Genomic DNA, 23,279 nt, shown 5'->3' on the forward strand with positions numbered 1-23,279 from the left:
TCCTCTGGGGGAGGGACAGAGTGATGGGCGTCTCTTTTGGCTAATGGAAACTTGGCTGCTGGTAAGCTGTGACCAATCAGAAGCGAGAACGCCGGATCCTGGGGCGGGGCTGGAGCTTCGTCAGTTGAACCGCTCGCGAGGAGGGTTGCTAGTGGAGAAGGTGAGAGGCCGCGGGAGTGGCGGTTGCGCGGGCCGTGGTGGAGGTCTTAGGTGGAGGGGAAGGGGCTTCTCTCGGGGGAGAGTGGGCTGCGGTGGGCAGCTGACCTGGCCTTGTAGGAATCGGGAGGGAGGGTGCCCTTTAACAAGGGTAGGCGCTTGATTGAGGGGTTGTGAGGCTGAGCGCAGCATGTGAGTTGGGGGTGATCTGTATATCGCAGGAGGGTCTTCAATGGGGAAAGTTGTAAAGCAGGAGACAGCAGATGGTAAAATATAGAGACGTCCTTGGAATGCAGCGTGGCGATTTAGTAGGAGGTTTTAAGGCAGAGGGTTATTACAGCGCACTATGCTTTACAAGCTTTGATTTGGGTGAAAGTCGTGGGAAGAAGCAATATTGAGGAAGGGAGGGAAGGAGACCTCCAGGGATGAGCATGTACTTTAAAGAGATGTGAAGCCCTATTATGCCTGTGGCGTTTGCTATGTGCTGTGCACCTGCCAAGTGTTTTAGGTGAATTAACTCTTAAACTTACTCTACTGATGGTTAAGAATGTGGGCTCTGGCGTCGGGTTGAATCCCGAATTTGAATCCTGGCTCTGCCACTGATCATTACTGTGGCTTTGGGCCAGTTGTTTAACCCTTCTGTGCCTCAGCTTCATCATCAGTAGAATGACATCATCTCTGTCTATACCATTGGCTAGCTTCACCCTCTTTATCTAATGAGAACTCCCACGTGTGTATTTCCAGCCTGGATCTCTGCCCTGAACTCCAGACTCATATCATGGCCGACTCTTCTCTCTTTGGAAGTTCATCTGACATTCAGACATAAACTTGTCCCAAACCAATCTTGCGATTTCTTCCTTTCAACCTCCAAACCCAGTTGATGGGACATTCATCCTGCCAGGTACTAAGATCAAGAAGCTTGGAGTGTTCTTTTTTTTTTTTTTTTGAGACAGAGTTTCGCTCTTGTAGCCCAGGCTGGAGTGCAATGGCGCGATCTTGGCTCACTGAAACCTCCACTTCCCAGATTCAAGGGAATTACAGGCGCCCGCCACCACACCCAGCTAATTGTTTGTATTTTTAGTAGAGAAGGGGTTTCACTATGTTGGCCAGGTTGGTCTTGAACTCGTGACCTCAGGTGATCCACCCGCCTCAGCCTCCCAAAGTGTTGGGATTACAGGCGTGAGCCACCGTGCCTGGCTAGCTTGGAGTCTTCTTCACTTCTCCCTTTTGTCTTACTTATATATGGTCTAGCAGATCGCATTAGCTCTGTCTTCAAAACACATCCAGAATCCAACCATGCCTCACCAGCTCCTTTGCTACCACTCTGGCCTCAGTTTGTCTCCTGCTCTTACCTGGTTTGTTGCAGTGGCCTTCCAGGTGGGCTCTCTGCCTCTCACTGTTAGGGGGATACTAGTAGAACAGAAGTCAGGTCAGGTTGTTTCTCCTTTCAAACCCTCTCCTGGCTCCCACATTACACTGCAAAAGTCTTCACCATATCCACGAGGCCCCAACCTATTGGGTTCCTCCTCCTCCCTCCCCTCAACTCCCATCACTTCTCTCATTCCCCTGGCTCACTCTGCTGCAGCCACCCTGGCCTCCCCGCTGTCATTTGAACATAGCGAACACATTGCCATCTCAGGGCCTTTGTACTCGCTGTCCCTGAACGCACTGCCACCTCAGGGCCTTTGTACTCGCTGTCCTGTCCTTCTGGATCAGGTCTTTTCAGGTGTCTGTGTGGCTTCTTCCACACCTCTTTCAGGTCTCCGCTCAGACGTCAGCTTCACAACCAGGCATTTGCTAAAGTACTACTCAAGCTAAAATAACTCCTGTCACTGTATGGCCCTTCACTTGGCTTTATTTTTCTTCATAACACCACTACCTGATATAGATTATTATTATTATTTTTTTTGAGATGGACTCTTGCGGGTCACCCAGGCTGGAGTGCAGTGGCGCGATCTCGGCTCACGGTAGCCTCCACCTCCTGGGTTCAAGTGATTCTCCTGCCTCAGCCTCCCAACTAGCTGGGATTACAGGTGTATGCCAGCATGCCCAGCTAATTTTTACATTTTTAGTAGAGACGGGGTTTTGCCATGTTGGCCAGGGTGGTCTCAAACTCCTGACCTCAGGTGATCCACCCACCTCAGCCTCCCAAAGTGCTGAGATTACAGGCGTGAGCCACTGCGCTGGGCCTATTATTATTTTTTGAGATAGAGTCTCTCTCTGTCACCCAGGCTGGAGTGCAGTGGCCTCATCTCAGCTCACTACAACCTACGCCTCCCAAGTTCAAGTGATTCTCCTGTTTCAGCCTCCCAAGTAGCTGGAACTACAGGCATATGCCACCACGCCTGGCTAATTTTTGTAATTTTAGCAGAGATGGGGTTTCACCATCTTGGCCAGGCTGGTTTCGAACTCCTGACCTCAAGTGATCTGCCCACCTCAGCCTCCCAAAGTGCTGAGATTACAGGCGTGAGTCACTGTGCCCGGTCCTCACATCAATTACTGTTGGTTTATATCCACTGGGCTTCTTGGACCTCCCCACTAGAGTGTTTGACTCCATGTGAATATGGAACCCAGCACCTAGAAGAGCACATGGTGTTTAAAAAGTGTTGCTTCTCCTATACTGTCCTCACCACCCTTTGGGGTCTCCCTGTGGTATGGGGCAGGGTTGCTGAACTAGGAGGGTCATGTGTGGGGTGGTAGGGTCGGAGGTGGGGGAATAAACTGGGCAGATTGTGGCGCCCAAGGGCAGAAGGAACCTTTAGTGTCTGAAGGAACTTGGAGGAAATGCAGATTTCTGGGCCCACCCCCAGAGTTTCTGCTTGTGTATAGTTGGGACCCGACCTAGGAAGCTGCATTTTCATAAGCACTTGTGGTAAGGATTATGTTCCTTGGCCATCACTGTGAGAAACACTGTTAGGCTGGTTCAGAGTTTGCTGGGGCCACTGTGGTGATTGAGACAGCTCCTGACCCAGCCTGGGAGTCAGGGAGGGCTTCCTGCAGGAGAGGGGATTGGAGCTGAGACCTGGAGGATGACAGGGAATGAGCCGAGGGGAGAAAACCTTGGCTGTATCCCCAGTGTCTAGAACCCCATTCCCTGGCATCTCCCGTTAAATTCACAAGCAGTCCCTGAAGATACAAGATTGATTAAAATGGCTCTGCCCTCACGGGCTCCTGGTCTGTCAAATAATCAACAGATCACACAGATGGTAACAGGGAGTGCCAGCCACTGTTTGAAGCACCTTATATACACTAAATAATTTAGTTCAACAACAACCCTATAAGGTAGGAGCTCTTATTATCCCGCTTTACTGATGGGGGAAGGCCCAGAGAGGGCAAGTACTTTGCCCAAGGACACACCAAGGAGAAAGGCAGCTGGAATCTGAACCCAGAAGTACCCAGCCTGCAGCATGTGCCATGCTTAAGGTGTGAGGCCGCATTTGGGTTAGTTCTGGGAGGAAACAGGAGGTGGTCAGGGAAGGTCAGCTGGGTAAGGGGAAGGAAGACGAATGTTTCTGTCTTTCATGGTGGGATCCTAGACAAGCCTCAGTTTCATCCTCTGTATAATGGGGATGGTTATAATACCCACCAGAGAGCAGAATTTAGGGTGAGTCATTCATTGGGTTAATAAGTGTGCATGGTCCTTATCTAAGGCAAAAGTTTGCCTTTGAGAGACAGTGGGAGAGGGAGTTGATGCCCCAGGGGGAACTGGGGTGCCGCAGTGTGCACCGTAGAGATTTCATTGCTTGGTTCCCCAGAGGGCTTCTCTGTCTCTACAGTCTATGGGGACAATGTGGAAGGCTTTGGTCTGTATTCTGGGGCAGTGAAGGGGGGGTTCTATCCAGCCTCAATTCACCCACGTGGTGGGGAGGTGAGGTCAGAATGGGGTCGGGAAGGGGGTCATCCAGGCCAGGCCACGCGTGTGAATGTGGGGCGGAGGGCTGCTGCAGGAGAGAGCCCATCTAGGGTATGGCTGGGCTGGAATATGTGTTGGCGGTGGTGGGGAGCTGCAGAGTGTGGGGAAACAGCCATCAGGTGTGGGCTGCCAAGGGCAGTGATTTGCCCGTGTCTGGTATGGGAGGTAGTGATGTAGATTTGTCTTTGGTGAGCCCAGCGTGGAGAGTTTTCAGCTCCGGCCCCGGGGTAAGAGCTGTGAAATCTGTGAGCTATCTGGGGAGAGCCATTTGGAAGGTGGAGCCAGGGGTGGTGATGTAACGCTGGAAAGGAAAGGGGTCATCCTAGTGAATGATGAGAGGGAGAGAGCTGGGGGCTGAAACACTGGGTGTAAGTGTGCCAGCGCCATGATGTCATGAGGCCCGAGAAGTGGGTCAGGTGTGTGGGCCAGGATGGGGCCTGGAGGGCAGCCGCACAGTGCTCGCAGGGATGGGGTGGTGACGTCATGGGTTGGTGAGGGCGGGGCCTCGAAGGCACCGCTGGGATGCGTGAGGTCAGGAAGGAGGCAGAGGCTGAGAAGAGGAACTGGGAGAGGCTCAGGACTGGAATGAAATCAGCCACCAGGATGAGCCACTGGTCATTCCGAAGCAAGGATGGAGGATGCAGGTAGAGGGACAGGGTCAGCGGCGGGAGGGGAGAGGGGGCTCAGGGTCCGGGGAATCCTAGAAGTGGCGGTGGTGGTGGGGTCAGTGGAGAGGAGGGGTTGTTCAGAGAGGGCTCTCTAAAGGGAAGAGAGGTGGAAAATATGTGTGCGGGTGGAGTGGGGGTTGGGGGTGGGGTTACAAGCAATTTGGGAGGGAACAGAATCCAGGTGAAATATGGGAGTGATGGAATACAGGCTGAAAGTGGGATGTGTGGAGCAGAACCTTGAGCAAATATGCGGGAAGAATGCAGTTGGAATAACGGGGTGCATTGAAGTTGAATATGCGGGAGCCCTAGGAGACCGTGGGTGGCTGGTGTAGGGAGGAGAGTGCGGCTGCCTCCCTGCCCCCAAATCTGGGAGAGCAGGATGGAATGAAGGGGCTTTGGACGGGAGAGAGGGGGCTGGTTTCCGGGGAATGTAGCATGAGGGTTGGGCTGGAATATGTGGAGTGGGAGGTTCTGCAGAGAGGAGGGGAAGGGGAGTCCAGAATTCCGTGGCCATCTGGGGGACAAGTGACGGGCAGCTGGGGTCAGGGAGGCCGTGTGGAGCTGGCACGGGTGTGGGATTTATTCCATCAGCAGTTACTGAGCACTTAGGACATGCCTAGAGGAGGGGAAGGGGCCGGGCAGCGGGTGAAGTTTGTGGAGGTGAGAGAGGTGTAAGTGTGCAAGGGGAATTGAGTTTAGGCAGAGTATTCGGTGGCTCAGTGTCTGGGATCAGGGCGGGGTGGGGGCTAAGGACAAGGCAATGGGATGCCGAAAGGGGCTGCTCTTCGCGGGGTGGGTATGGGGGGTTTCTGCCGAGCAGTGGGGAAAGGGGAGTTGGCGGCGGGGATGCGGTGTGGCGGGCCCCCTTCCTCTGTGCGGTCTCCTCCCGGGAGTTGGGGACCACGAGTGGGGGCGGTGATGCTGTGCGGCTCCTCAGGTGTTCAGTTCCGTGGGTGCCTCCTACGCCTTGGTAACCCGGACGGTGTCGCCGCTGATAGGTTCTGGGAGCCGGAGGGGGTGGGGTTGATGGGCGGGGTTTAGAACACCCAGTGGGGCGGGGCCAGTGCTGCCACGCACTGCATTGGGGTCAGGGGATGTGGGATATGCGGCAATTTGTTTGCAGCAAGATCGAGATTATTATTTTTTATTTATTTGTTTTTTCTGAGACAGAATCTTGCTCTGTTACCCAGGCTGGAGTGCAATGGCATGATCTTGGCTCACAGCAACCTCTGCCTCCCGGGTTCAAGCGATTCTCCTGTCTCAGCCTCCCGAGTAGCTGGGATTACAGGCACCTGCCACCACGCCCAGCTAATTTTTGTATTTTTAGTAGAGACGAGGTTTCACCATGTTGGCGAGGCCGGTCTCGAGCTGACCTCAAATGATCCACCCTCCTCGGCCTCCCAAAGTGCTGGGATTACAGGCGTGAGCCAACGCACACGGACGAGATCGAGATTATTAACCTGGACTTATGAACCATCAGAGAATGAAAGCACAATTGCCAGAATGTGAATTTTCCAGGGGAAGGGGGTCCCCGAATTCATCAGCCCTTCCAAAGCACTCTTCTCCCAAATGAAGTTAAGAGCTGTGATCTAGAGAGAGGTGTCTGTCAGGAGGTCTAGGGCCTACGCCATTGCCCTTGGGCCTCTGAGAAAAGAGATCTGTGGATGGGCCTGGGGGGTGGTAATTTGGGAGCCACTGAAATGAACTTGCAAAAGGTTTTGGGACTATTCATTTATCTGCAGAAGGCTCAGAAATTTCATTAGATTCTCAAAGGCTCAAGGACTCTAAAAAGGTTAAAAATCCCTTACCTGGAGTTTCAAGGATCATCTTTTTTGCCTCACAATATTGTATTTTCTGATATTAGATTTTATTTTATTTTTTGAGATGGAGTCTCCCCCTGTCGCCAGGCTGGAGTGCAGTGGCACCATCTCAGCTCACTGCAACCTCTGCCTCCTGGCTTCAAGCGATTCTCCTGCCTCAGCCTCCGGAGTAGCTGGGATTACAGGCACGGGGCACCACACCTGGCTAATTTTTTTGTATTTTTAGTAGAGATGGGGTTTCACCATTGTTGGCCAGGCTGGTCTGGAACTCCTGACCTCATGATCCACCTGCCTCGCCTCCCAAAGTGCTGGGATTACAGGCATGAGCCACCGCACCTGGCCTGCTCTGACCCCCTTTTAAAAGCTTGGCTCATCCTACTCCAATACCCCCGTCCCTCTTTCCAGCTTGACTTTTCTCCACAAATGTTTGCTGAATGAATGAATGAATAATAATAAATATATAATGAGTATAAGACTTAATAAATTAATACTAATATTAATCATGATTCTTTTTTTGGCCATCATGTATTTCTTTTCTTTCTTTTTTTTTTTTAACTGAGTCAGGGTCTCACTCTGTCACCCAGACTGGAGTGCAGTGGCAAGATCACAGCTCACTGCAAGCTCTGCCTCCAGCCTCCCGAGTAGCTGGGACCACAGGCATGCACCACCACACCTGGCAATTTTTTTGTATTTTTAGTAGAGGTGGGGTTTCACCACATTGCCCAGGCTGGTCTTGAACTCTTGAGCTCAAGTGATCCTCCTGCCTCAGCCTCCCAAAGTGCTGGGATAACAGTTGTCAGCCACCGCGCCCGGCTTGGCAATCATGAATTTCTAGTATCCAGCACATATTGGACACAGCCTCCAGGTCACAGTACCAAGTACTTTTATACATATTGCCCAATGTAATCCTCACAACAAGTCCACGAGGTTGGTGCCATTATTATACCCATTTTCCAGATGAGGAAACTAAGGCACAGAGAGGTGAATTCGCTTTCCCAGGATGCCACAGCTGGTAAATGATGGAGCCAGGATATGAGGCCTGGCCTTCCAACTCATGAGCCTGGGCTCTGAGCTCCTCTAGGTTTCTCTCTCATCTCCTTCTCCAGCAACCTTGGCCATGGACCAGCCGGCTGGCCTGCAGGTGGACTACGTCTTCCGGGGTGTGGAGCATGCCGTGCGGGTGATGGTTTCTGGGCAGGTGCTGGAGCTGGAGGTGGAGGACCGGATGACGGCTGACCAGTGGCGGGGCGAGTTCGATGCTGGCTGTGAGTGTGCCTGCCTGGGGTGGGCTCACCTTTCCTCTCCTGGGATCAGCTTCTCCCAGAATATCAGGCCACCCTGAATCCTGCCCACCTGCCTCTTCTTTGTCACCAGAAACTCTCCAGTGTGGGGAGGGGTGTAGGTCTTGTTGCTCAAGCCAGAGACACTGGAGTCGGGTAGAATTGCAGAGCTTAGGTGCATTGCCCTGGGGCTGGGCAAGCGGTCAGACCTCAGGAGAGACTTTTCTCCCCACCCAGTCATTGAAGATTTGACTCACAAGACAGGGAACTTCAAACAGTTCAACATCTTCTGTCATATGCTGGAGTCAGCCCTCACTCAGGTAGGGCCCGGGTTGGCGGGTTGGGGTGGGAGGGGGGTTCTGTCTTCCAGGTTCCAGGGGGGTTGATGCCCATCTGATGTATGTAAGACCCTCTACCTTCTCTTTCATTGTGGGAAGAGGGCGATCATTTTCTTCTTTTGCCAAGTGTAAATGCTTCATTTTGAACTTAATGATAGTTATTCTCATGTAGAAAATTTAGGTCACAGAGAAATATAAAGAAGAAAGTAAAAATCACTCCAGCCCTAATACTCGCTTCTGTTAATATTTTGGTGAAAATCACTCCAGTCCTTTCTCCATGTCTCTGTTTGTTTCCAAATACGTGTGTGTGTGTGTGTGTGTGTGTGTGTGTGTGTGTGTGTGTATGCATTTGCAGATCTGTAATTATATATAGTTTATATAATTTCCAAGGTATTCTGCAACCTGCTTTTTTTGGTTTGTTTGTTTATTTTTTTTTTGAGATGGAGTCTCGCTCTGTCGCCCAGGCTGGAGTGCAGTGGCACCATCTCAGCTCACTGCAACCTCCGCCTCCCAGGTTCAAGCGATTCTCCTGCCTCAGCCTCCTGAGTAGCTGGGATTACAGGCGCACGCCACCATGCCCGGCTAATTTTTTGTATTTTTAGTAGAGACGGGGTTTCATCATGTTGACTAGGCTGGTGTGGAGCTCCGGACATCAGGTGATCCACCCGCCTCTGCCTCCCAGAGTGCTGGGATTACAGACGTGAACCACTGCGCCCAGCCTGCAACTTGCTTTTAAAGGATTCAGCAATATCTCATAAAAATGTAGTCACATCAGTGAATATAGCCATTCATTCATTTCATTTGCTGAGCATTGACAGTGTGTCAGTCATTGTGGGGGACACTGGCGATACAGCAGTGAACAACAGACAAAACCCCTGTCCTCATGAGGCTGACATTTTGGAGAGACAGACAAATGAAAAAATACATAATGTCAGGTATTTAAAAGTTTTTGTTTGTTTGTTTGAGATGGAATCTCACTCTGTCTCCCAGGCTGGAGTGCAGTGGCGTGATCTCAACTCACTGCAATCTCTGCCTCCTGGGTTCAAGCAATTCTCCTGCCTCAGCCTCCCGAGTAGCTGGGACTACAGGCGTGTGCCGCCACACCCGGCTAATTTTTGTATTTTTAGTAGAGATGGGGTTTCACTGTATTGGCCAGGCTGGTCTTGAATACCTGATCTCAAGTAATCCTCCTGCCTTGGCTTCCCAAAGTGTTGCAATTACAAGCGTGAGCCACCGTGCCCAGCCTAAAAGTAATAATCAGGGGGAAGAAGCAGGTTAGAACTTAGAGTGACAGGGATGGGTGGTATTTAGATATCTTTTTTTTTTTTTTTTTTTTTTTTTTGAGACAAGAGTTTTGCTCGGTTGCCCAGGCTTAGTGGCACAGTCTCAGCTCACTGCAACCTCCGCGTCTCGGGTTCAAGTGATTCTCATGCCTCAGCCTCCCAAGTAGCTGGGACTACAGGCCTGCCCACCATGCCCAGCTAATTTTTGTATTTATTTATTTATTTTTTTTGAGATACTATCTGTGTAGCCCAGGCTGGAGTGCAGTGGCATGATATTGGCTCACTGCAACCTCCGCCTCCCGATTTCAAGCAATTCTCCTATTTCAGCCTCCCGAGTAGCTGGAATTACAGGCATGCGCCATCATGCCCGGCTAATTTTGTATTTTTAGTAGAGACGGGGTTTTGCCATCTTGGCCAGGCTGGTCTTGAATTCCTGGCCTCAAGTGATCCACCTGCCTCGGCCTCCCAAAGTGCTGGGATTACAGGTGTGAGCCACCGCGCCTGGCCTGGACAAGCGATAGTTTCTTAAAGGTTAGTTGCAATGTGGAATCTGCATCCTCATCAGTGAACTTTTTGTATTGTTACATTAAATTCCACTGACTTATCTTGCATTTTGTATGGATATTTTTTTACCTGTGGATGATCTTGTAACATCATGCATTGGTCATTTGGAAAATATTGGTTCACTAAGTTGTGCAGATTTTCCAAATGTTGACACATTTCCTTATATAATATCCAGAAGTCACATTTGTTAATATCCTCACCGATTTCCCCAGGAAAGTCTGTGAACACCGAGAAGCTATCAGACACCCAGTGGAAGATACAAGTTTTCCAAAATTCTAATTTCAAGTGCAAAGCTTGAATTTTGTTATTGGCAAGACATCCTGTTAGCTGTTTTTCTTGAAGTGACAGGCTCACTTTGTTCGTTTTTGAGAAAATTTCTGCCAGATAGCCCGAGTCTAAATAACCATAGTTTTGTCTGTCAGTCGTTTTTTTTTTTCAAGTAAAAATAGTGTTCTATGAAAAGTGGCTAATTTAGCTCAAAACTCAGATACAGAAGTGCTTTTTCCCGAGACCATCGTCATACTTTGGCGTGCACAGAAGTACTTGATGTGTACTTCCCATTTTCTTGCTCAACATAATAAAGAGATGTGTGCTCTAGGGGCTGAATTCAATAAAATTAATAATTTTTACTGCTTCATCAAGAACATTCCGATGTTTCATTTCCTGTGTTTTATGGTTGATTTGCTTATTTACTTGTTTGTTTATTTCTCTTCCCCAGCCCCCCACTGAGACTGGGGAGATACAATAACCTCCAGTACCATTCGGTGCCAGGGGCTTGATTTCTCCTAAGGCACCAGCAGTTTTTCCCACCATTGCTTTTGTACCATTCGCGCACATGTCAACACAGTGAAAAAGACAAATGACGTCTTTGTATTATTATGAAAGTAGCTTTGACCTCAGTGGAGATCCCTGAAAGGGTCTCGTGGACCCCCCAGGGATCTGGAGACAGCACTCAGAGAGTCACAGGTCTAAGCTGTTCTCTCTGGTTGAGCATTTAGGTTCTTTCTGGTTTCTTCCTTCGATGAAGTCCTTGTGTCTGCCCTAGGACAGGGCCATGTTGATTGCCAGCCTTCGCGTAGGAAAGCCTAGCCCGCCTAGAGAACGGGAAGGGCTGTGGCCCAGGTGTGTGCTAGGTGCCCTCCGTGTGGCAGTGGCGGGTGCTGTGGCAGCTCCTCCTCTCCTCTCCTGACAGAGTAGTGAGTCAGTCACCCTGGACCTGCTGACCTACACAGACCTGGAGTCCCTGCGGAACCGCAAGATGGGGGGCCGCCCAGGCTCCTTGGCCCCCAGGTCGGCCCAGCTCAACTCCAAGCGCTACCTGATCCTCATCTACTCCGTGGAGTTTGACAGGTGGGGAGAAGGGTCTGGCTCCAGGGCCAGGCTGGTGGGCGGGGTGGGAGAGGATGTGGGTAGGCCTTAGGAACCCCTGGCACCCAGGCAAGGTGATATTGGTTAAGCCTTGCCTTGGGAATCTTCCCTGTTGGGGTTTGTATCATTTAGTATTGTGTTTGGCTACAAGTAGCAGAATAACCATCACCAGTGCCCTAAACAAACAATACATCAAACAAATAATACGTCACGTAACAAGATGTCTAGGTAGGTGTCTGCCACCTGTTTAACAGTTCCACTAGGGACTCAAGCTCTTTCTTTTTTATTTTTTTCCTTTTACTGTCGTTAATGTGTTGGCTTTTTTTTTTTTTGAGATGGAGTCTCACTGTCTCATCCAGGCTGGAGTGCAGTGGTGTGATCTTGGCTCACCGCAACCTCTCCCTCCCAGGTTCAAGCAATTCTTGTGCCTCAGCCTCCAGAGTAGCTGGGACTACAGGCACCCACAACCACGCCTGGCTAATTTTTGTATTTTTAGTAGAGACGGGGTTTTGTCATGTTGCCCAGGCTGGTCTTGAACTCCTGGCCTCAAGTGATCCTCCTGCCTCAGCCTCTCAAAAGTACTGGGATTACAGGCATGAGCCACCACGCCCGGCTTGGCCTTTTGACTTCATCTTTATCTCTTCATGGCCACAAAATAGCTGCTGGATCCTCCAGACATTGCATCTATATCAAGGCAGGAAGAAGAGGGACAGGGCTGAGTTTGTTAATTGCCTTTGCTGTTTTTATCAGGAAAAAAAAAAGTGTTCCCAGAAGACTCCCAACAGATTTCCTGTAATATGTGGCCAGAGGTGGTCACATGCAAGGGATGCTGGGAAAATGAATATCTGGCTTTCTAGCCTTTATAGGGGGAGGGTAGCAAGAGAGTTGGGAATGGCAGTTGTGTAGCTAGGTGACCGTGTCTGTCCCATGTGTTAGTAGCCACTGGATTTCTTAGTGGAAAGTTACCAATCCTCTGTGAATAGCATCTCATGGGGCCGTTAATCACAATGGCTCACCTTTCCCCAGCCAAGCCAGGGTCACCCAGGCCAGGCCAACCAGAATGCCCCGCTGTGGCATCTGAATTAGGATTGCGTTTGGCTGCAAGTAACATGATACCAGCATTCCCTTCATCAGCAGTGGGTGACAAGGAAGTTCCCCCAGACTACACCAGGGCTGCCAATCCCAGTGGTCCCCAAATTGTTATATAAGAGGCTTTCACAGGTGGTGACTGGAACAAGGGGTCCGGGTACAGGGAGGGGCCTTGAGGATGTGCTCATAAGCCTCTAGGACAGTGCAGTTTTTGGAATTGTGTGTTTTCGTACTCTGTGGCTCTCAGAGGCTGCTGTTTACCCTCAGGTGCATTCTTGGCCTCTGAGATGCCACGGTTTTAATCCTCCCTCCTCAGGATTCACTACCCGCTGCCCCTCCCGTACCAGGGCAAGCCAGACCCCGTGGTTCTGCAGGGCATCATCCGGTCACTGAAGGAGGAACTGGGCCGCCTGCAAGGGCTGGATGGCCAGAACACTCGGGACACCCGGGAGAATGAGATCTGGCATCTGCGGGAGCAGTGAGTCTTGGAGGGGTGGGCAGCTGGGGCGGGTGGGGGCCCTCCCATCATGCACCGCGGGGCCCATGCTCGGTCCTGTGGGGAGGATGACTGTCCTTCGCCCACCACGTATTCTTTTTTTTTTGAGACAAGAGTCTCACTCTGTTGCCCAGGCTGGAGTGCAGTGGTGCGATCTTGGCTCACTGCAGCTTCCTTCTCCCGGGTTCAAGCGATTCTCCTGTCTCAGCCTCCCAAGTAGCTGGGATTACAGGCACGCGCCACCATGTCCGGCTAATTTTTGTATTTTTAGTAGAGAAGGGGTTTTGCCATGTTGGCCAGGCTGATCTCAAACTCCTGGCCTCAAGTGATCTGCCCGCGTTGGCCTCCCAAAGTGCTGGGATTACAGGCATGAGCCACTGCGCCCGGCCTCTGAGCCCCTCTTCTGTACCTTTGTGCTGGGTGGTGCTGGGGACATAGTGGTGACCAAGACTATCTTGGCACTGCCCTCCTGGGACTCTGAGTCCAGGGAGGGAGGCAGATGTGTTTGCAGACAGTGAAGGCTCTGGGTGGGGTACCTGACCCTGCCTGGTACGGGAGGGGTGTTCTTGGCAAAGGGAGCAGCATGTGCAAAGGTTGGGGGGAGGTCGAGCTCTATGTAGGCGAATCCACCTTCATGGGGTGCACCTTTTGTGCTAGCCCCTCCCTGCCACTCACGTAGTGCCCAGCCCTGGGGGAGATGGGTGCTAAGTATATAACCACTTGAGTATATCATTACAGATGGAGATGAGTAGGGCAGGAAAGGGAGCCTGTGCTGTGGGAGGCTGTCACAGGACTCCACTGGGGTGTAGGGTGGGTCAGGCCCAGGGGCTGGGGAAGTGTTGTAGGCAGAGGGAACAGCCTGGGCAAAGTCCTTGTGTTAGGTGGGAATGCGGTGAGAACAAGGGAATGAATGAAGTGAAAGAAGCAAAGGCCTTTGGCATATATATTCATGCCTGCCTTGTGCTTGGTTCTGTTGGGGAGACGAATCTGGGGCTTGATCGCTACCGGGAAGAGGCCTGGCTCGTTGGGGAGGACTAATAATATTTTTAGTAATAATGTTACCAGTAACTAATGTTTATTGAACATTTAACTGTATGCCAGGGCTGCTCTGTGCTTTATGATTAAATTCATTTTATCCTCACAGCCACCCTACAAGGTAGGCACTGCTATTATCACCGTTTGACAGAGGCCCAGAGAAGTTAGGGAACTTGGCGCAGGTCACACAGTGGGTAATATGGCTAGGCTGGACCTTAGATCCAGGCAGCCAGCGCCGAGCCTCTGTTGTTTCCCCAGCTGTTTGCACTGTTGGTGGCTGCAAGCCCAGGACAGAGCGCTAAGTGCTGACCCGGAGGACCAGTCCTTATGGGAGCTCATGGGGCTGGGGAACCCCGCCGGTCTTTGGAGGAGCTCGCCTGTGTACGGCTGGGCCGAGGAAGGCCGCAGTGGGGAGGCCAAAATTTATCCTCAGGATCTGCTCTCAGGCTGTGTGTGTGTGTATGTGTGTGTGTGTGTGTGTGTGCGCGCGCGTTTGCTCTGTCTCAGGCTGTGTGTGTGTGTTTCTAGGTTTGTGTTTCTGGGTGTGTGTTTCCCAAGATGGCCACAAGGGGGCGCCCTCCACCCTTTGGAACCAACCACAGGAGCCTTGAGATCCCACCGCTGCTCAGTGGCTTCTTATCTTCCTCTTCCCAGCCAGGAATTAGGGAGTTTGGGAAGGTTCTGAGATTTATTCATTCATTGAGCCAACATTTATGGAGTTCATACTGTGCCAGGCACACTGCCTGACGCTAGTTAATGTTTATTATGCTAGACATGGTCTAAGCACTGTGGATAGATTCTTACAGCCTAACAGGCGGGCATTCTTATTATCGTCCCTCTTCACAGATGAGAAAAGATGGCCTGAGGCTCAGAGATGTGAAGTGAAACTGCCCAGGGCCACCCAGCTTGTTAACAAGTGGAATAGAGTTGAATGCAGGGCGCCCGGCCACGCAGCCTGGGGTCCTGTGCAGTGAACCAGACAGGTGGAGGCTCTGCCCCCAGAAAGGTGGGATCCACATGGGAAACGGACACTCCTCTACATGCCAGGTCTGCCAGGGCTGGTGCTAGGAAGGAAAGGTATAGAGGGCTGGGAGAGCGGAGAACGTCAGGGGCAGGTAGGCTTCCCGGATGAGTGGAGTCGTTCTTGCCAGGAGAAGAGGGAGAGAAGGTTCTGGGAGGTGAGAACTGCATCTGGCTGGAGCCTGTGGGAGAGGGAGGCAGGAGGAGAGGAGGGGAGAAGTCAGATGGGCAGGGGCTGAATAGAAAGGAAAGCTCCTTGTTAGAGAGTGTGGGGAACCACGGATTTTAAGAAGGATTTATTAGGAAAAATTCCAGCACCACAAAAGTAAACAGTAGTATAATTTGCACGTACTTGTCCCCCAGCTTCAACAGTTACCCACGTTTGCCCATCTTGTTTGATGTACTGCCACCCCCTGCCCTGTAGCAAATCCCAGTCTTCGTGTCTCCTCTGTAAAAGCATCAGTGTGTATCTTTAACACATAAGGATATAAGTGCTGCCATCACATCCAACAAAATTCACAAAAATTCCAGGATGTCATCTGAAACCCACTGCGTATGCGTTCACACTTACACTTCTCTGATCACCTCTCAAATGTCTTTTTTGCAAGTGGTTTGAATTCGTCCTGTATCTAAATACGGCTGCACATTGCAGTTTGTCGAGGTCTTTCTTTTCTTTTCTTTCTTTCTTTTTTTTTTTTTCAGTCTTGCTCTGTTGCCCAGGCTGGAGTGTGGTGGTACGATCTTGGCTCGCTGTGTCCTTACCTCCTGGGCTCAAGCGATTCTCCCACCTCAGCTTCCTGAGTAGCTGGGACTACAGGCACATGCCATCATGCCCAGCTAATTTTCATATTTTTTTATAGAGACAGGGTTTGCCTGTGTTGCCCAGGCTGATCTTGAACTTCTGAATTCAAGCCATCCACCTGCCTTGGCCCCCCAAAGTGCTGAGATTACAGGCACGAGCCACTGAGCTTGGCTGATGTATTTCTTAAATCTCTTTTAATTTATATCCCCCTCTCCACTTTTCATGCTACTTATTTGTGGAAGAAATCAGGTTATTTGTCCTGTAGAGTTTTGCAGTCTAGATTTTGCTGAATTTTTCCCTAGCAAGCATACTCAGATGGAAAAATGAAAAATAGATTTTGCTGATTATATCGCCATGGTGTGTTTAATGTCCTTCTCTGTCCCCTGTACTTGCAGTGAAGTGGTGGCTAACCCTATATAGGTTTAATCACATGTGGGGTAGGTTTTGGCAAGATGCCTCCTTTGGTGGTGTTGAGACTGATGATTTCAGCTGTTGAGAGCTGGCTCCCTCTTTTATAAAGTTCTCTTCGGCCTTTCAACCAATGCAGTGGTTCACTCTGGATATGCACTCAAATTGCCCGGGAGCTTTGAAAAATCTCAGTGCCCTGGCTGCCCTGTACATTCACCATTTCTTTTTCTTTTTTTGAGACCGAGTCTCGCACTGTCACCCAGGCTGGAGTGCAATGGCGTGATCTCTGCTCACTGCAACCTCTGCCTCCTGGGTTCAAGCGATTCTCCTGCCTCAGCCTCCTGAGCAGCTGGGATTACAGGTGTGTGCCACCACACCCGGCTGATTTTTGCATTTTTAGTAGAGACGGGGTTTCACCGTGTTGGCCAGGCTGATCTCGAACTCTCGACCTGTCTCAAGTGATCCACCTGTCTCAGACTCCCAGAGTGTTGGAATTACAGGTGTAAGCCACCGTGCCTGGCCTATTTTTCTTTTTTTAAAAATTTTGTGAGCAGTGAGGAGTTCCAGGGCAGGCCCTGACTCCTCCAGACACACCACTTACACCTGAATCTCTGGGATGGGACCCGTCCCTCCTGCCCAAGAGTCCCACTGCTTCCACTACTTAACTTTCTTGTTGTGAAAAATAATATACTCCAAAGAGTATAAAATATAAATGTACGGTTTCACAAATTATCATAAAGCCAGCGTACATGTAACAACTACCCAGGTTAAAAAATTGAGGCTGGGCTCAGTGGCTCACGCCTATAATCCCAGCACTTTGGGAGGCCGAGGCGGGTGGAACACCTGAGGTCAGGAGTTCAAGACCAGCCTGGCCAACATGATGAAACCCTGTCTCTACTAAAAATACAAAAATTTAGCTGGGCAGGGTGGCGCATGCCTGTAGCCCCAGCTACTCGGGAGGCTGAGACAGGAGAATCACTTGAACCCAGGAGGCAGAGGTTGCAGTGAGCCGAGATCACGCCACTGCACTCCAGCCTGGGTGACAGAGGGAGACTCTATGTGGAAAAAAAAAAAAGGAGAAAAAAATCAAAAGTAGTCATTTCCCCATAGCCTCCGTATGTCTTTTTCCGGGAGAGACCCTCCTGCCCCAACCATGCTCCCAAATGCACCAGATCTCACTCACTTGATTTGCTTATGGTTTTGCCAGCTGAACTATGCATCCCTAAACAATATAGTTTAGTTGTATCTCTTTTTGCACTTAATTTAATTTTTTTTTTTTTTTTAAGAGACAGAGTCTTGCCCTGTCACCCAGGCTAGAGTGCAGTAGTGCAGTCATGGCTCACTGTCAACTCAGACTCCTGGGTTCAGACAACCTTCCTGCCTCAGCCTTCCCAGTAGCTGGGACTACAGGCACATGGCACCATGCCAAGCTATTTTTTTTTTTTGAGACAAAGTCTTGTTCTGTCCCCCAAGCTGGAGTGCAGTGGTGCAATGTCAGCTCACTGCAATCTCTGCCTTCTGCCTCCTGGGCTCAAGCGATTCTCCTGCCTCAGCCTCCTGAGTAGCTGGGATTACAGGTGCCCCCCACCAGACCTGGCTAATTTTTTTTTTGAATTTTTAGTAGAGAGGGGGTTTCACCATATTGGCCAGGCTGGTCTTGAACTCATGACCTCAGGTGATCTGCCTGCCTTGGCCTCCCAAAGTGCTGGGATGACAGGCATGAGCCACTGTACCTGGCTGCAAGCTAATTTTTGTAGAGATGGGGATTTACCTTGTTGCCCAGGCATGTCTCAAACTCTTGGGCTCAAGGTATCTGTCCGCCTTGGCCTCCCAAAGTGCTGGGATTACAAGTGTGAGCCACCACACTTGACCTACTTATATGTCTTTTCTTGTGATGAAAATCTTAGTTTCTAGGGATAATAACATATTTATTTGCTTTATCTTAAACAATACCAGTGTAATTACTAATAATTGAATTTTGAATGAAGTTTAACATTTCCAGGGCCGGGTGCGGTGGCTCACGCCTGTAATCCCAGCACATTGGGAGGCTGAGGCGGGCAGATCATGAGGTCAGGAGTTTGAGACCATCTTGGCCAACATGGTGAAACCCCGTCTCTACTAAACATACAAAAATTAGCCAGGGTTGGTGGTGGGCGCCTGTAATCCTAGCTACTTGGGGGCTGAGGCAGGAGAATCGCTTCAACCCGGGAGGCAGAGGTTGCAGTGAGCCAAGATCGTGCCACTGCACTCCAGCCTGGGTGACAGAGCAAGACTCCGTCTCAGAAAAAAAAAAAAAAAGATTTCTTTGCAGTTCTTTTTGGCCTTAGGCTATATCCCGCTTGCTCAAACGATGTGTTTTAGTCACCTCCTATAATTCTCCAATGTGCCACCAACTTTGATATAGAGTTAGGTCTGTTTGGGCCAGTTTCTTTTAAAATTTTTGTGATGGCATTTGTTAAAATTTAATTAATTAATTTGTATAAAATATTTTTATAGTTCCAAAACTGAAAAAGAGGGTACATTCAGAGAGGTCCAATTTCTTACATTTTTTAAAAAATTATTTTTACTTCTGGTTTTCTTATTTTTTTGAGATGTGATCCACCTGCCTCGGCCTCCCAAAGTGCTGAGATTACAGGCATGAGCCACTTTGTCCAGCCAGAGAAGTCCAATTTCTGTTCATTTTCCCCTTCCCCATAAATAATCCTTTTTTCCCCCATAGATTTTGGTTTATTCTGTAATTTTGAAAATATAAACATATAATTTATAATTCTCATTTCTTTTATGAAAAGGGACATTCTGAACATACTGTCTGCACCGCACTGTGTCACAGCAGTCACTCGGTGACAGGACACAGAGATACTCTACTTTCCTCTTTATAGTTTTGTGGGACTCAATTGAGTAGATGTATTAGAAATTCAATTAGTTCTCTTTTAACATACATTTTGGTTATTTCCACTCTTTTGCTATTACAGATTGTGCTGCAATGAATAGCCTTGTGTATACATTTTCTCAAGGAAGGGTTTTGAGCATGGTAGTTACCTGATCAAATTTGTATTGTAGAGGATTTCGTGACTGGGAGACTGGCCTGGCGAGGTGGGAGGAGGAGGGAGGCAGTGCTAGGCTTTCAGGGTGTGTACAGATTGATGAAATCGTTTAGAATTGGAACTCACATGGCTGTGTTCCCACTCCTTCACCCGCACCAGGGGGAGGAGTGTGTGTGTGTGTCCTGTGCGTGGTGGGGTCATGTCCTCTTCGTGAGGTGCATGGGGGTGATGTGACCACATCCCTCCTCACACGTCGCAGGGGATATGATAGGACCCTGCCCCTCCCCATGGGGTCAGTTGAGACTGATGAGCCGTGTACCCCCTTCCGGGGAGGTGAAATGATGAGGCGTCCCACCCCCATGGAGTAGTGGGAATGGGGCCATGCCTCTCTCTCCAGCGCTCTCTCCGCGTCTTCCCCAGGGTGTCGCGCCTGGCGTCCGAGAAGCGGGAGCTGGAGGCGCAGCTGGGCCGATCGCGCGAGGAGGCGCTGGCCGGGCGCGCGGCACGCCAGGAGGCCGAGGCGCTGCGCGGGCTGGTGCGCGGGCTGGAGCTGGAGCTGCGGCAGGAGCGCGGCCTCGGGCACAGGGTGGCCGGCCGTCGCGGCCAGGACTGCCGCCGTCTGGCCAAGGAGGTGAGCAGCGGGGGCCCGGGGCGGCCAGCGAGGCGCGGACCTCGGCCTCAGCCTGGACCTCCGCGCCCCTCTCCCCTCCCGGCAGCTCGAGGAGGCGAAGGCATCGGAGCGGAGCCTGCGCGCCCGGCTGAAGACGCTGACCAGCGAGCTGGCATTGTACAAGAGGGGGTGAGAGCGAGGCCTGCCAGGCGCCTGGGCGGATGGGCGGGCCCTGAGGGTGTGGAGGCTGATGAGGCGGAGCCTAAGGGGGCGGGGCGGGGCCAGGTAGGGTGGAGGGGGCGGGGCTGAAGGGGAGGCGGGGCTTAGCGGACCCCGTCTGGAGTCCAGACAGGATTTGGGTGCAGTGGTTAGGAGGTGGACCCGGGCTGTGCGGAGATGCGCAGGCTTGGGGCGGCGTTCAGGAGGGACTGGGAAAGGGATCGTGCCCTAGGGTCTCCTGGTGCGAAAGGGTGCGGCGCAGCAGGTGGGATCAGGGTGAGGTCCGCTGGCATTTATGGGGTGGGTGGTGGAAAATTGGAAAGAGTTTCCGGGGAGTTGTGGAAGACTCCGGAAAGAAGGGTCTGTTGAAGGCGGTGTGTTGAAAGGATGTAGGGGAATGACAGAGGGGTGTTTTAGGGGTCCAATTGGGTGAGGTCTGGGGGGGAAGATATCGAGAGGGTCATGGGCCCAGGAGTGCACGTCTAGGAGTTGATGGGGTAGGCCTGAGGGTTCGGAGAAGGTGCGGTCGGGGAGGAGTCTCGCGATTGAGTTTGTCGGGGCGGGCGGGAAGCTGACAGCTGCCTCTGTGGTCTCAGGAGGCGGACTCCGCCGGTGCAGCCGCCCCCGACGCGGGAGGACCGGGCCTCATCGTCCCGGGAGCGCTCCGCGTCGCGAGGCCGCGGCGCCGCGCGCTCCTCATCCCGGGAGAGCGGCCGCGGGAGCCGGGGTCGGGGCCGCCCTGCGCGCCCCTCGCCCTCGCCCACAGGTCTGTGCCCCTGCCCTGCGGTAGGGAGGGGACGCACTGGCGCTGCCAAGGCCCGTCTCCGGACCTAGCCGCCTCCTCTCCCACGCCGTCCTAGGTGGTCGCGCGCTCCGCTTCGACCCCACGGCCTTTGTGAAAGCCAAGGAAAGGAAGCAGAGAGAGATCCAGATGAAGTCAGTGCCCCTTCCTCCCTCACCTGCCCCTGTCCCTGGCCCGTGCCCGCTCCCGGGCTCTCATCTCTCCACGCCACCATCAGTCTCCATCCCCTGCCACCTGCTCGCTTCTCGCCGGATACCCCGCCTGCTCTCCCTTCCGTCCGTCCTACCTCCTCGTCTGTGTTTCTGCGTGCTTTCCGCTCGTAGGCCTGTCACCTCAGGCTTTCGCTGGCGTGGCTGTGACCTTTAGGGGCGCAGTGACCCCCTTGCCTGCAGGAGTTGGGCGTACAGACCGGCGTCTCCTTTCTTTTTTCCCAGGCAGCAGCAGCGGAACCGCTTAGGCAGTGGGGGAAGCGGGGACGGTCCGTCCGTCTCCTGGTCTCGCCAGACCCAGCCCCCTGCTGCCTTGACTGGCCGAGGGGACGCCCCTAACCGCTCCCGAAACCGCAGCTCCTCAGGTAACTGGCCTGGAGCTGGGGGCTGCCGGGCTAGGCGGGACTGGGCGGGGCTGGGCGGGCTGGGAGGCACTGGGCAGGGCGGGCGGGCTGGGAGGGCCTGGGAAGCACTGGGCGGGGCCAGCGAGGGCCAGCGGTCACGCCCTCCGTCTCCCTCTAGTGGACAGTTTCCGCAGCCGCTGCTCGTCTGCCAGCTCCTGCAGCGATTTGGAGGATTTCTCTGAGTCGCTCTCCAGAGGGTAAAACTTGAACTTGGGAAAAGGATCGCCTCCAAAGGGTTTCTGGGGAGACTAGAAACAGTCTTTTGCAGGGAAATTGGGTGATGGAGCCTGGGGGCCTTGAAACCACAAAGGTCGGGGAGGTGGGAAGTACCAGAGCCTCCCCACCACTGGTCCTTGGTTACTCCTTTTTCTCAGGGGTCACCGCCGCCGTGGGAAGCCTCCCAGCCCAACGCCCTGGAGTGGGTCCAATATGGTGAGTAGAAGGGGCAACATAAACCACTGGAACACAGCTGCCCCCATTTCCTGTGATTCCTTCCTGGGGATCAGGTGCAGAGGCGACTCTGAATGCCTTTGGCAATAGGGCTTTTTTAAGAGTGCGTCTCGCTCTTTCAGGCTGGGGTGCAGTGGGGCAATTGTAGCTCACGGCAGCTTTCAACTCCTGGACTCAAGAGACCCTCCCACCTCGGCCTATGGAGTAGCTGGGACTAGGCTTTTTTGGGGGGGCAGGGTGGGGTTGAGACAGGATAAGGGGGTGGTATTGTCTCTTTATGTTGCCCAGGCTGGTCTGGAACTCCTGGCCTCAAGCCATCCTCAGCCTCCTACAGCGCTGGAGTTACAGGCTGGGCCAGCGCACCTGGCCTGGGAACAGCACGTTTTGAGAGCATTAGATTGGAGAAGGAATAATGAGGGGCACGTGATGCTCTTTAGGGCTTTGGCTTCTGACTGTCAGGTCTTGAAACCTGTCTCCTCCTCTTCCCAGCTGTATGGTTCAAGGCAGTTCTTTAGCCTCTCTGTACCTTAGTTTTTGTTTATCAGTTAACCAGGGTTGGTAATGGCATCACCTCACATGTGAGGTGAGGGCTCTGTGAGGACATTAGGAGGTTATTTTGCAGATAATGAATGGCCAGTAGGTGTCAGGCCTTATTTTTCCCCAAGGTCCTTAGGCTCAGGATTTCCAGTGGGATTTAGGGGGACAGAAATAGAGGGACGGTGGGTGACCCCCTTTCCTACCTTCCCCATCACCAGAAGTCTCCCCCCGTGGAACGCAGCCACCATCAGAAATCTCTGGCCAACTCCGGGGGCTGGGTCCCCATCAAAGGTGAGCCTGGGACTCCACATCCCCTCTCCCAGCCCCAGGACCCGTTGGAATGGTAGTGCGGGCAGTGGTATATTGGGCCCAGGAACTCCCTGGGGCTTCAGGCCCCTCACAGCCCCCATACCCACACCTGCTCTCACAGAGTACAGCTCGGAGCACCAGGCGGCTGACATGGCCGAAATAGACGCACGCCTGAAGGCCTTGCAGGAGTACATGAACCGACTGGACATGCGGTCATAACGTGGAGAAGGGGTACTACCCCTCCATCCCCCACCCACTTGCTGGGTATGGTGTGGGGGGTGGGGCCAGGGTGGCCTCCAGCCCTGCCCAGTCCCTGCCCTGGCCCCGTCCCTCCTGCTGCCCCTGGGGTCTCAGGTGTGTGAGGCCCTGACCCTGCCCTCTCCCCAGGCAGTGCATGCTGGGAGGGAGGATGTGTGCATTTTGTAAATAAACATATTTGCCCTGGGGACCCCTCA

The 23,279-nt window shown here is 52.2% G+C and overlaps 1 protein-coding gene across 1 annotated transcript, besides 6 other annotated features; it reads left to right on the top strand.

The window, feature by feature from the left end:
* Positions 61-240: an enhancer, noted in NCBI's record as "active region_14833". NCBI's record gives its function as "activates an Ori minimal core promoter by ATAC-STARR-seq in GM12878 lymphoblastoid cells {active_cell/tissue: GM12878}" and the evidence as "EXISTENCE:reporter gene assay evidence [ECO:0000049][PMID:35858748]".
* On the top strand, positions 123-23,272 carry CCDC61 (coiled-coil domain containing 61). The gene is made up of 14 exons (NM_001267723.2): positions 123-160; positions 7,664-7,822; positions 8,075-8,157; positions 11,215-11,372; positions 12,796-12,957; positions 19,705-19,915; positions 20,001-20,083; positions 20,710-20,879; positions 20,974-21,049; positions 21,350-21,489; positions 21,647-21,725; positions 21,903-21,960; positions 22,734-22,806; positions 22,946-23,272. The coding sequence occupies exons 2-14, from the start codon at positions 7,675-7,677 to the stop codon at positions 23,041-23,043; spliced, it is 1,539 nt and encodes a 512-aa protein (NP_001254652.1). The 5' UTR covers positions 123-160; positions 7,664-7,674; the 3' UTR covers positions 23,044-23,272.
* Positions 5,587-5,881: an enhancer, noted in NCBI's record as "tiled region #4903; HepG2 Activating non-DNase unmatched - State 23:Low, and K562 Activating DNase matched - State 8:EnhW". NCBI's record gives its function as "activates a minimal TATA promoter and a strong SV40 promoter by Sharpr-MPRA in HepG2 cells, with weaker activity in K562 cells {active_cell/tissue: HepG2 | K562}" and the evidence as "EXISTENCE:reporter gene assay evidence [ECO:0000049][PMID:27701403]".
* Positions 7,753-8,252: an enhancer, noted in NCBI's record as "H3K4me1 hESC enhancer chr19:46506355-46506854 (GRCh37/hg19 assembly coordinates)". NCBI's record gives its function as "activates a minimal SCP1, AML or CMV promoter by ChIP-STARR-seq in naive H9 embryonic stem cells {active_cell/tissue: H9 hESC(naive)}" and the evidence as "EXISTENCE:reporter gene assay evidence [ECO:0000049][PMID:30033119]".
* Positions 19,947-20,241: a silencer, noted in NCBI's record as "tiled region #13926; HepG2 Repressive non-DNase unmatched - State 10:DNaseD". NCBI's record gives its function as "represses a minimal TATA promoter and a strong SV40 promoter by Sharpr-MPRA in HepG2 cells {active_cell/tissue: HepG2}" and the evidence as "EXISTENCE:reporter gene assay evidence [ECO:0000049][PMID:27701403]".
* Positions 20,709-20,788: a silencer, noted in NCBI's record as "silent region_10807". NCBI's record gives its function as "represses an Ori minimal core promoter by ATAC-STARR-seq in GM12878 lymphoblastoid cells {active_cell/tissue: GM12878}" and the evidence as "EXISTENCE:reporter gene assay evidence [ECO:0000049][PMID:35858748]".
* Positions 21,519-21,578: a silencer, noted in NCBI's record as "silent region_10808". NCBI's record gives its function as "represses an Ori minimal core promoter by ATAC-STARR-seq in GM12878 lymphoblastoid cells {active_cell/tissue: GM12878}" and the evidence as "EXISTENCE:reporter gene assay evidence [ECO:0000049][PMID:35858748]".
* Positions 23,273-23,279: the final 7 nt, after the last annotated feature.

Source organism: Homo sapiens, chromosome 19 (assembly GCF_000001405.40).
Source record: "Homo sapiens chromosome 19, GRCh38.p14 Primary Assembly".
Taxonomy (NCBI): Eukaryota; Metazoa; Chordata; class Mammalia; order Primates; family Hominidae; genus Homo; species Homo sapiens.

What these genes read in the sequence shown, in the direction of transcription:
- CCDC61 (NM_001267723.2), top strand. Translation starts at nt 7,675, where the DNA reads ATGGACCAGCCGGCTGGCCTGCAGGTGGACTACGTCTTCCGGGGTGTG. An exon ending in TGGAGTCAGCCCTCACTCAG is followed by an intron (nt 8,158 to 11,214) that starts GTAGGGCCCGGG and finishes CTCTCCTGACAG; the next exon opens with AGTAGTGAGTCAGTCACCCT. An exon ending in CTGGCATTGTACAAGAGGGG is followed by an intron (nt 20,084 to 20,709) that starts GTGAGAGCGAGG and finishes CTGTGGTCTCAG; the next exon opens with GAGGCGGACTCCGCCGGTGC.